The sequence below is a fragment of the Homo sapiens genome, chromosome 2 (genome assembly GCF_000001405.40).
Source record: "Homo sapiens chromosome 2, GRCh38.p14 Primary Assembly".
NCBI classification, from domain to species: domain Eukaryota; kingdom Metazoa; phylum Chordata; class Mammalia; order Primates; family Hominidae; genus Homo; species Homo sapiens.
This window is the reverse complement of record NC_000002.12, coordinates 20,503,250-20,516,078: the sequence shown is the minus strand read 5'-3', so window position 1 is coordinate 20,516,078 and position 12,829 is coordinate 20,503,250.

Here is a 12,829-nt window from a genome sequence, read left to right as displayed (position 1 = left end):
ACACTGTAAACCCACAGTGCCAGGTAGATGGCAGGTGCTTAATCAATACTTGCTGGGCTGAATCAGTCCATGCACTGACTAGCCTGCCCAGTTTCAAAGCCTCTCCGTGGCACTTCCCAGTGTGCCCGCCACCTCTGAACCCCCCGTGCCTGGTTAGCACTTCTAACTGCTTCTAAGCTTTGTCCCACCATCAAGCTTCCAAGAGCTTTGCCATCAGCTGAGCAAAGAAGAAGCTCCAGAGCCGCCTAAAACCCAGTCAATTTCAAACAGGAAAGGCCTCCATCTGGTGCCACTCTTGGAAGACACGTGACTTCTTACCTTTCTTGCCTGGCTCCAGGCAGAGGATACTTGGGGACACCTTCACACACTACCTCTCCCGCCCAACCCTGCTCATGTCCACTCCCAACAGGTGGCTGGGTGTGTGCGCATCTGAGACACTCACCTGCTCTTTTCCTCTCTGACTGTCGGGTGACCCCTTAACCTTGCCATCACAGGGTGTCCAACCCGGGGGGATTCTGGCTGCTGTGCTCTCATGCTGCTGTTAGGATTCACTGCAGGGCATGTGAGTCACATGACCAGGGAGGGGAACAGCAGAAAGGAGTCTGCTATGGTTTGGCTGTGTCCCCACCCAAATCTCATCTTGAATTGTAGCTTCCATAGTCCCTACGTGTTGTGGAAGGCACCCGGTGAGAGAGAGCTGAAAACATGCAGTTTCCCCCGTACTGTTCTCATGGTAGTGAATAAGTCTCTCAAGATCTGATGGTTTTATAAGGAGTTTCCCCTTTCACTTGGCTCTCATTCTCTTCTCTTGTCTGCCGCCATGTAAGACATGCCTTTCGCCTTCTGCCATGATTGTGAGACCTCCCCAGCCACGTACACCTGTGAGTCCATTAAACCTCTTTTTGTTTATAAATTACCCAGTCTTGGGCTTTATCAGTAGTGTGAAAACTGACTAATACAGAGCCCTTACCTCACACTCAGTCAGGGCACGGCCCCAGCGCCTGCCTTCCCTGACTATGCGTCACTGCAGGGAAACATGCATTCCAGAGGGCTCAACAGGAAACCAGAGGGATGAAGTCAGAAGCGGGAGGGGCTTCCAATTTGACTCCCAGTCCTAGCCCCTGCCTGGCTGAGATACCCTGAAAAAAACAGCAGCACTCCCCTGCCTCAGTTTCTCTGTCTGCAACAGGGGAGCACAGAGAATTTTTCAGATGGCTGAAGTGTGGCTGACTCATGCTGTCTTCTGTCCCCAGACTGACCCCAATTGGGCCATCATCTATGCGGAGGTCTGTGTAATGAGTTTTTTTTCCTCCTAATAGGAATGCTCCCCCAACAGGACTATCTGTGCCCTTGAACTGCTCTTCTTGAGTCCTTTGTGGCAGTGCCATGTGATAGGTGTAGACCATCTTTCCCCCTGGAGCATGTGCTCTGTGAGGCCCCCAGTGTGTTCATGGCTCTGTTTACAGGACCTAGAAGAATGCCTCATGCACACTGGGTGCTCGATATATATTTGCTAATGGAATAGGTGGTGCTTCCTGATGGAGCAGTCACCGTCCTTGGGTTGGCTGGGGGCTGTCCTGATTACCCACCTCAAGCTTGACTATAGAGAAAACCAAACCAGCCCCAGGGAACTCAGACCTGAAGGGGCTTCCAGTGGTGGGGCCAGACGGCTACATGGAGAGCTAGAAAACAGGTGTCAGAGAGAAGTACCTCAGCAGGAGCACACAGCTCTCAGGAAACACGAAGCAAGGTGTCAGGGAGGAGGTGGAAAGGGACTGGATGCAGAGGAAGGGCAGGCTGTGTTCAGGCGACGCGTTTGTGGGTGGCATCCAGGTGCCAGGCTGCCTGTGTCCTGTGGCTGCCACAACAAACCACCACAAACTTGGTGGCTTGCAGCAACAGAAAGGTGCCGCCTCACAGTCAGAAGTCCAAAGGCAATGTGTCATCCAGGCCAGTCCTTTCTGGAGGGTCTGGGGGAGCACCCGCTTCATGTCCCTCTCCTTGCTTCTGGAGCTTTCTGGCAGCCCTTGGTGTCCTTGGCTTGAGGGCATCACCCCAGCCTCGGCCTCTGTTTTCACATGGCCTTCTCCCTGTGCATCTCTGGGTCCCTGTGTCTTTACATGGCTGTCTTATAGGTCATTCGTCATTAAATTTAGGGCCCACCCCAACTGGTACAACCTCATTTTAACTTGATTATATCTGCAAAAACTCTATTTGCAAATAAAGTCACTGTCACAGGTACCAGGGATTAGGATCCCAACAGGTCTTTTGAGGGGAACACAGTTCAAGCCACAACACAGTCACAGCAGGTAGAAGGGATGGTATGGGCAAAGGGTCCTGAGGCTGGCAATGTCCCCAGGCGTTGGAGAGCATGAAAAGTCTGCTGTGGCTGGGGCACAGGGAACTGGGAGACAACAATGAGGACGGACGGATAAATGGGGGAGATTATAGAGAACCTTGAGTTCTCAGCTAACGGGTCTGAACTTTTTCAGCAGGTAAGTGGGAGCCACAAAAAGGTTTTTTTTGTTGTTGTTTGTTTGTTTTGAGATGGAGTCTTGCTCTGTCACCCAGACTGGAGTGCAGTGGAGCGATCTCAGCTCACTGCAACCTCCACCTCCCGGGTTTAAGCAATTCTCCTGCCTTAGCCTCCTCAGTAGCTGGGATTACAGGCACCCGCCAATATGCCAGGCTAATTTTTGTATTTTTAGTAGAGACAGGGTTTCACCATGTTGGTCAGGCTGGTCTTGAACTCCTGACCTCAAGTGATCCACCCGCCTCGGTCTCCCAAAGTGCTGGGATTATAGGCGTGAGCCACTGTGCCCAGCCCACAAAAGGGTTTTGAGTGAGGGTTGGTGAGATGTGTGGAAGAAAGATCACTCCAAGGCAGGCAATGAGGAATGCAGAGTGGAGGGGGCCGCGTGACCCTGGGAGACCCACTGGGAAGCTGTCGAGGCAGCACAGATAGCAGGGTGGGAGTGGTGGGGAGGGAAGGAGGCCAAGTGCAGGAGAAACAGAAACCAACATAGTGTTGTTTGGGGAAACGGGGAGGAAATTGTGTGAAGAAAAAAAGACCCTCAATAGGATGGGATGATGCTTAATCTGATAAAACGGTGGCATTTACATTTCAGATCTTTCTTTTTTTTTTTTTTTTTTTTTTTTTGAGGTGGAGTCGCCCTCTGTCACCCAGGCTGGAGTGCAGTGGTGCAATCTCGGCTCACTGCAACCTCCACGTGCTGGGTTCAAGGGATTCTTGTGCCTCACCCTCCCGAGTAGCTGGGATTACAGGTGCGCACCACCACACCCAGCTAATTTTTGCACTTTTAGTAGAGACAGGGTCTCACCATGTTGGTCAGGCTGGTCTCAAACTCCTGCCCTCAGGTGATCCGCCCGCCTCAGCCTCCAAACGTGCTGGGATTACAGGCGTGAGCCACCGCGCCCAGCCACATTTCAGATCTTGATTCCATGTTTGTTCAGCTCTGAGGCTTATGCCTTTGGGAAGGTCCAGGCAGAGCATGCAGCCCAGGTCACCCTCGGGACATGATGGCTTTCAGCGTGGCTCCTGGTGGCTGTGGTAGAAGAACGGGAGCCCTGAGGGGATAGAGCTGCAAATCTCTAATGGCAGCTCCCGCCATGGCGGAGTTGGGGTGGTGAGGGGGGCCGTAGGGCCCAGAAGCCCCACTTTGGGGTAGCAGTCTCTGGGTTGAGTAGTCAAGGCCTGATGATCCAGGGGACCCTGTCAGCTTTGGGGGCTCAGTGAGAGGCCGGCTCTGACCACTCGGGGTGGAGGGGAGAGGCCATTCCTGGGTAGACAGCTTGCTCCTGGTAAGTGAGCCACACAGGACATAGCCATGCATCCGCCATGCCTGTGGTGGCTGCCAGCTGAGCCTCACACACATGCCCCAGAGGCAGGGGCTGGAAACTGGGGGCATCCTGTCCACTCCCAGCCACCCTGGTTCTTCTTCCCCATGTGCTCCTCTCCTCTCCCATGCAACTGAACGGTCCTCACGGTTGCACCTTCATGCTGGCCTTTCTCTCTAGGTAAGGGGGAAATTACACCAGCTGAACGTAATTCCCTGCACAGCAAGTTGGGCCTATTGACTCATTGTTCTTAAAAAGGCAGAACAGACTGTGGACATGGGGCCTGAGAGAAAGTGAGAGGCAGAAAGACACAGCAATGGGGAGGGCGGTTCACCGGCCCTCCCTCCTGCATCCACAGGCGGTGGGCTAAGGGGCTCTTGCCCGATTTAGAATTGTGCGCCCCAGCCCTGTAGACTCTCCCCTGTGCCCCGTAACTCTACCCACTTACTCATTCATGAAATAACCTAACCTAAAGCACCTACGATGTGCCAGGCCCTGTTCCAGGGACTAGGGACACAGCAGTGAACAAGACAGGCAGGTGTCCCCTGTGCAACTGTCACTCGGTGGGAGTTGTCAGAGCCAAGTCTACAGAGAAATGAATACCGTCAGACAGATCAGGCAGCAGGCAGCAGTGTGAGGAAAACTAAGCAGGGTGACACGGTAGAGAGGGACTGGGGGGCAGGTTTGGAGGGTGCTTCCGACCTGGGTAATCAAAGCAGACCCCTCTTAAGAGATGACCTTTGAGAGGTAGCCTAAATGAGACGTAGGCCCCCACTGCATACAGATCTGGGGCACAGAGAATAGCAAGTGCAAAGACCCCAAGACACTAAGAAGCTTGGCAGGACTGAGGAGCAGAAGGGAACCGGGGAGAACAGGAGGAGATAAGGTCAGAGGTGAGAGGTCAGAAAGGGAGCGGGGTAGGCCTACTAGCCATGAAAAGATTTTGCATTTTGTTTTAAAAGCAATGAGAAGCCACTGGCAGGTTTTATTCAGGAGGATTGTTCAATGGGAATTAATCTTTTTAATAAGCTAACTCTGGAGGCTGAACGGAACATGAACATGGAGGGGAGTTGAGGGGGGTTGTATGGGGGTGCAGAATCAAAACAGAGAGGCCCTTTAGGAGGCTGGTGGAGGCTGGTGAGTGGGGTGAACAGTGACAGGACTTCAGCGTGGGATGGTTGAATTGATGTGGTGAGAAGTGACCAGGTCTGGAGCGTATTTAGGAGGTAAGGTTAACAGAACTTGCTGATGGATTAGATTTGGGGAATGAGGCATATAGTGGGTTAAATAGCATCCCCCCTACCCAGATTCACATCTACCCAGAACCTCAGGACAAGGCCTTCTTTGGAAAAGGGTCTTTGCAGAGGTAATTAGGTCAGAACATGGCCTTCTTTGGAATGAGGCATGTAGTGGGTTAAATAGCATCCGCCCCGACCCAAATTCACATCTACCCAGAACCTCAGAACAGAGCCTTCTTTGAAATAGAGTCCTTGTAGATGTAATTAAGATAAGGTCGTACTGGATCAGGGTGGGGCCAAGATGCCACCTCAGCTCCTGGCACATCTTCAGAATTCCAGGCAGGAAATGGCAGGAAGGGACAAGAGCCAGGTTAGCCCCCTTTGCTCTTTTTCAGTTTTTGTTTGTTTGTTTGTTTTTTGAGACAGGGTCTCGCTCTGTCACCCAGGCTGGAGTGCAGTGGCCCCATCACAGCTCTCTGCAGCCTCAACCTCCCAGGCTCAAGGGATCCTCCCACCTCAACTTTCCGAGTAGCCAAGTAGCTAAGACTACAGGCGTGTGCTAGCATGCCCGGCTAATTTTCGTATTTTTAAAATAGAGACAGGTTTTCACCATGTTGCCCAGGCTGATCTCAAACCAGGCTGAGCTGGGCTCAAGCAGCCCTCCTGACTAGCCTCCCAAATTGCTGGGATTATAGATGTGAGCCACCTCGCCCGGGCTTTCCCTTTTTTTTTTTTTTTAATGAGAAGAGCTAAGTCCTCCCAGGAGCCGCCAGCTCACTCCCTGTTACGTCTCATTGGCCGGAGCCGTGCCACGTGGCCACCCCCACCTGCACTACACAAGAGGCTAAGAAAGTGAGACTGCTGCCTCTCCAGCCCTGAGAGCAGGGTGTGGGAGGGGAAACGATGGGAATGAAGGTTGGCTCATCTGTCCTATAGTCTGCCACAAGCACGACTATGGCTGGGAGCCTTCTGCCTGGATGTGTTGGTTTCTTTTCAAAATTCCTCCTCCCCCAAATTATCCCACAACAAACTTGCAAGGCAGAAAGACCATACATGATTCATTCTCGTTTGACAGGTGAGGAAACTGAGACCTGAAGCTCAGAAAGGGCGCACCCACAGTCACAAAGAGTCCATGGCAGGGCCAGCCCTGCCCACAACATGCCCAATAAAATATATAATCCTCCAAGACAGATCATCATTTCTAATATACACCCTTGCACTGGGGCAGGTATGATAGTGGGAGGGCTCCTCCCAGCTTGCAAAGACCAACGACGGGGACCTGAGGGCAGCAGTCCTGCTCCATTCCACAGAGGGATTTAGTCCAGGCATTTGCTGCCACTTGATAGGCTAAGTGCTTAACTGAATTAGTGCAAATTCCTGCTGTCTCTGTGCGTTTGAGTTGTCTATGTCATGGGCTGACTTGGCAGGTCAGAGAGGCGAAGGCAGGAGAGGCAGCAGTAAAGACTCACCGAACCTCTGTCTGTGCTGTGGGAGGCCTTTGCTCAGTGTGTCCTCATGAGTGTTCTTGGCCTGGGGTCAGGCTCCAGGCAGGGCCTGGTGCGGAGGGCATGGTGGGTACCTGGTGAGGCCCAGGACACTGCCCAGCTACTCCAGACCACTCTCACATGATCCTTTCTGGTCTGTGAGGTCAGGGCAATGCCACCTGCTTGGCCTGGCAAAGTCAAGCAAGGAGCTCAAAGGCACTATGCCAGTGGGTAAGGGGGAGTGGCTCCATCAGGAAGATGTTTGGGTCTGCATGGTGCAGCTCCCAGGTGGGAAGAGGCTTCTCTCATGCCCCTGGCCAGCCTCCAGTCCAGCCTGGCCAGCAAAAGCTTCTCTGCATAAGGACAAGAAAGGATTCAGAGGACAAAGGGGACTCAAAATTTATTATCTAAATATCATCAGAGAGCATGGTGCCTTGCCCTTGGCCCTACTAAGAAGAGAAAGTGTTTTTTCTGTTCATGGCATTGCACAAAAATTGGCTGGTTTACGCCTTGGTCAGACCATGCTAACCTTGACTTTGGGAAGGAGTTTATGTAAAAAATCACTGGAGGTGGGCCGGGCGTGGTGGCTCACACCTATAATCCCAACACCTTGGGAGGCCGAGGCAGGCGGATCACGAGGTCAATAGATCGAGACCATCCTGGCCAACATGGTGAAACCCCATCTCTACTAAAAATACAAAATAAAAATATTTTGTATTTTAAAAATAAAAATACAAAAATTAACTGGGCATGGTTGCGCCAGTGTAGTCTCAGCTATTCGCGAAGCTGAGGCGGGAGAATCGCTTGAACCCAGGAGGCGGAGGTTGCAGTGAGCCAAGTGAGCACCGCTGTACTCCAGCCTGGTGACAGAGTGAGACTCCATCTCAAAACCAAAACAAACAAACAAAAAATCACTGGAGGTGAACTTGGCTGAGACATTGTCATTTGTTAACCAATTCTGTTTTTTTTTTTTTTTTTTTTTTTTTGAGACGGAGTCTTGTTCTGTCACTCAGGCTAGAGTGCAGTGGCACAATCTCAGCTCACTGTAACCTCTGCCTCCCAGGTTCAAGCGATTCTCCTGCGTTAGCCTCCTGAGTAGCTGGGATTACAGGTGTGTGCCACCACACCCAGCTAATTTTGTTGATGTTGTTGTTGTACTTTTAGTAGAAACAGTGTTTCACTGTTTTGGCCAGGCTGGTCTCAAACTCCTGACCTCAGGTGATCTACCAGCCTCGGCCTCCCAGAGTGCTGCGATTATAGGCGTGAGCCACCACGCCCAGCCTTGTTAACCAATCCTTATTTTCTGGGCACACAGTGGGACAACGTTTCCCACCCTCCTCCACAGTTAGATGGGGTCCATGCAATTAAGTTCCAACCAACGGAATAATGTGTTAACCACTGAGATGTGAGGTTGTTTATTCTAGCAATAAGACCATCCTGAGTTAGTAACAATGACATTTGGGAGTTCCAGGTGGGAACCACCCAACTTCAGAAACTCCATCATTTTTTGAGAGGCACTAGGGTGTAGAGGCTTTGGAGTAAGGTGTGGCTGGATTCATATCTTTGTTTTGCAACTTACTAGCTGTGTGACCTCAGGCAAGTTACTTAACCTCTCTGAACCCATTTCTCCATCTGTAAAAAGGGAAAAATCTAACACTCACAAGGGTGTTGTAAAAATTCAGTTAGGTAATGCACATAAAGTGCTTAGCATGGAGCCTGGCACAGAGATTAGCCTATAAATAGTAGTTGCTGTTATTTTACTGAATTGAAAATAGTTTAAAAGATAAATTAGTTTAAAACTTTTATCTGTCTGTTTAAAATTGTATGATTTGTTTCATAAATAGCATAAATGGAAACTGAGACAAAAGCAAGCAATCTCTCAGCTTCCATAAAACCCTGGACTAGGTCACCAGACTGGAAGTTCAAAATAAACTGATTTAGTAGCAGCTTATCCTCAGTTGTCCAGAGAGGCAGAGCAGGGAGCTTGGCTCTGTAACTGGATTGAGGGCAGCCTGATCCTGGCCACTCCACACTGTGGGTGGTGGAGTTGCTGGAGGCCACAACGGGTGGCCAAGGCCATCCAGACAGGCCCCTATGGACAGGAAAGAGTCTACTCTCTGGACTGGATCCTTTCAGTCTTGACTTCACGACAGCTGTGGTTTTCTAGTCCTGTGACTATATTATCACTGTGTGTCATTTGAGCCATTCTGATGGGACTGTGGTGATGCCTCTGTGGTTTTGATTTACATTTCCTGGACGGCTAATGATGACGGACGTCTTTTCATGTGCTTATTTTCCATCTCCATATCCTCTTGTCTCAAATGTTTTTTATCCATTTTCTAATTGGACTGTTTGGGGGTTTTTTACCTGTTGAAATTTAAGAGTTCTTTCTATATTCTAGACAGTAGTCCTTTGTTGGACAAGTGGCTTGCAAACACTTTCTCCCAGTTTGCAGTTTGTCTTTTCACCATTTTAACAAGGTCTGTCACAGTTTTCATTGTGACGAGGTTCACTTTATCAATGTTTCGCTTTTGTTGTCGAGTCTAAGGGCTCTTTGCCCACCCCTAGACCAGTGGAGCGCCTCCACGCACAACACAACCCCACCTCACATTCATCCACGAACCTCTGCTGGGTGGCCACTCTGTGCCCTGCCCTACATCCCCGGCTGGACAATAGTCCCCATTTTCTTCTCGAATGCCTACTCCCCACTGAGCGCTAAGAAGAGCATCTAAGTGGTCAACTCGGCCCCAGGTAGCCTCAGCCCAGACCCCAAACCCACTAGTAGCTAACTATGCCAGAGGCTCGGGTTCCAGAAGAGGCCTTCCATCACCGGGGGACTCCCAGCTCCGTGTGCTCTGCAGGGAATGCCAAAGGCCTGTTGGGTTTGGACTCTGGGGACTCTCAACAACGGCTTATGTCTAAACAGCCTGATCCCTCACTGTGATCCTGGAATCCCAGACCTGCTTCTCCCTAGACAGCCACCAAAGCAGCCCTAAGTGAAGGGCAAACGGAAGGGCAATTCAAGCATTTGTGGATTGCTCTGTCTACTGGGACTTTGGATTTGGGGACTCAGCTACATTGTAGAGACTTTTAAAAAACTCTTAATTAGTCATCTCTGCTACTCCCCCTGGTGCTGGTAAGGTTGGTCCTGGAGCAAGAACAGCTCATTCCAGCTGCTCTGAGGCATAACACAGGCAGCTTGGCCCTTCTCCCATCCAAGTGAAGTTTAATTAGTTTCTACTCACAAACAATTAATGTCTAATTATTCATTAACCCCTGCTGGCTATTTTATTCCTGAGCCCAAATCCTCTCCATTCTGGGGCAGTAATTTGGGTATGCCTTCATTTACTAGGCCCCTGGTTGACTTTGAATGCCTGGCAATGTTCTTGGATAACCCAAGGAGACTTTTCCCAACGCAAAAGCTCCAGATTCATCCACCGCTGTTCTGGGCGATAATCGGTGAAAATTTATCCTAAATTTAGCCAGTGAGAGCAGCACCGGAGAAGAGTTAGATTTGGCAGAGTGGTTGTTGCAGGGAAGACCTAGGCAGGTCCTGACTCTGGATTAAACCCAAGTCAGGGCTGAGAGGGGCTTAAAGAGCACTCTGCCCAGGACTTGCTCTTCAGCGGAGACACTGAGGTCTGAAATGGCAGGGGTCAGGTGCCCGCCAAAGCCTAGGAGCAAGGCACTTAGATTTTGAGAATCTAAACATAATCTCTTAAGTGATAAGACTCAAATTAAAAAAAAAAGGACTGTCCAGAAAAATGCATGTATCGGTTGACACTCAAAACCCCGCAAAAATGATGGGACTCAGGCCCCCTGAAGGCATCTTTGCAGTCTAAGTTATGAAGCCATACACTTTACAAAAAAAAGTTGTTTTAACTTTCAAATAATAAAAACTACCATAAATAGTATTTAAAAATAAATTAAAAAGTAGGAAAGATGTATGGAACATATAAAAGACAAAGGTTAATATCCCTAATGAATAGGAGCTTCTAAAAATTAGAGAAGAACAAACAATCCCACTTAAAAATGGGCAAAAAGGGCCTTAAACATATAAAAACCTACTTCAACTTACCCGTAACAGGAGAGATGCTCACTGAAACTACTCTGAAATACTATTTTTCACCTATAAAGACATTAGCCAAAATCTAAAGGTTTGACATCACACACTTTTGAACAGGCTACAGTATCTTTATATGTGGCTGGTAATAATGAAAAATGTCACAACCCCATGAAAGATAATATCCAGGAAAACCGCATATGCATTATCTTTTGTCCCAACAATTCCATTTTTAGGAATCTATTCCAAAGGTACACTGACTGGCAAAGATACAGAAAGACACATGGGCTGGGCGCAGTGGCTCACGCCGTAACCCGAGGTGGGTAGATCACCTGAGGTCAGGAGTTCATGACCAGCCTGGACAACATGGTGAAACCCCATCTCTACTAAAAACACAAAAATTAGCCAGGTGCAGTGGCAGGTGCCTGTAATCCCAGCTACTCAGGAGGCTGAGGCAGGAGAACCACTTGAACCCAGGAGGTGGAGGTTACAGTGAGCTGAGATTGCACCATTGCACTCCAGCCTGGGTGACAGAGTGAGACTCCACCTCAAAACAAAATAAAACAAACAAAAAGACACATGTATAACACTATCCATTGCAGGATAATTTGTAATAGGGAAGGACAAGCATCAACTCAGTTATTCATCAATAAGGGACTAGTTGAATGCACATCTACGAACTGGAGTATTATGCAGCTGTAACTAGGAATAGGACCACCTTTATTTACTGCTAGTGAGTAATCTGCTGGCTCATGGTTACGTGAAAAAAGCCAGGCACAGAATGTTTATAGGTGCTACTGTCTAGCTAAGAAAGGAGAGATGTAAATATACCTAATGTTCTGGTCTAAATGTTTGGGTCCCCCTAAAATTCATATGTTGAAGCCCTGGCCCCTAATGTGATTGTATTTGGAGATGGGGCCTTTGGGGGGTAATTACTTTGGGTTAGATGAGGTCATGAAGGCAGAGCCCTCATAAAGGGATTAGTGACCTTATAAGAAGAGACACCAAAGGGCTCATTCTCTCTGTCCACAAAGAAGAGGTCATATGAACACACAGTGAGATGGCAGCCACCCACAAGCCAAGAGAAGAAGCCTCAGAATGAAACCTACCAGGCTGGTACTTTGCTCTTGAACTTCCCAGACTCTAGAACTAGAAGAAGTAAATTTCTGTGGTTTAAGTCACCTGGTGTGGTATTTTGTTATGGCATCCTGAGCTAAGACACCTAGATTGTGGCCTCTGAATAGCATTTCCCAGTGACAGGAACCAGGACTCCTTGGAGAAATGACTGAGTCCAAGTCCAAGGAAGGAAATGTACAAGAGCCTAAAACTTCTTGTTATACTAAAGCTGAAGACTACTGGGATAATGTCAGAAGGACTGAAGAACTAATTTCAATAAGCTTCCACCAGCTAAAAATGGGGCAATTTGAGGATAAATATAAAAATAACCACAATGGGCCGGGCGTGGTGGCTCACGCCTATAACCCCAGCACTTTGGGAGGCCGAGGTGGGTAGATCACCTGAGGTCAGGAGTTTGAGGCCAGCCTGTAATGGTCTTTCCAAACACAAGCCTGGTCTCTTTAGTAGAGACCAGATGGTGAAACCCCGTCTCTACGAAAATACAAAAATTAGCCGGGCATGGTGGCGGGCACCTATAATCTCAGCTACTTGGGAGGCTGAGGCAGGAGAATCACTTGAACCCAGGAGGCAAAGGTTGTAGTGAGCCAAGGTTGCGCCATTGCACTCCAGCCTGGGCAACAAGAGTGAAACTCTGTCTCACCAAAAAAAAAGAAAAAAAAGAAAAGAAAGAAAAGAAAAAGAAAAAGAACCACAATGGATTAAAGTGCATCAAACATACTTAAATTCATGAGTTTATAATGATATTGAACGAAACAAAACTTTATTGGTCACTTTTGGAAGATTCAAGAAAACTACTCATTACTTGAAAAACTGAAAAATAATGGGAAACAAGCATTTATTCTGCCTCTCCTGTATGAATTGGACCTCAAGATATTCAGATCATAAATAAGAAAAAAATTCATTTTAGAACTATTCTGACTAATAAATGAAGAAGGAATGGTAGAACTAGCATGTCACCATTTTGCACCCCCTAATAAATGAAATAATAAAGATAAGAATCAACAGTAATGTTAACTCCATGAAAAGAGGGACAGGCAGGTGTTATGTAC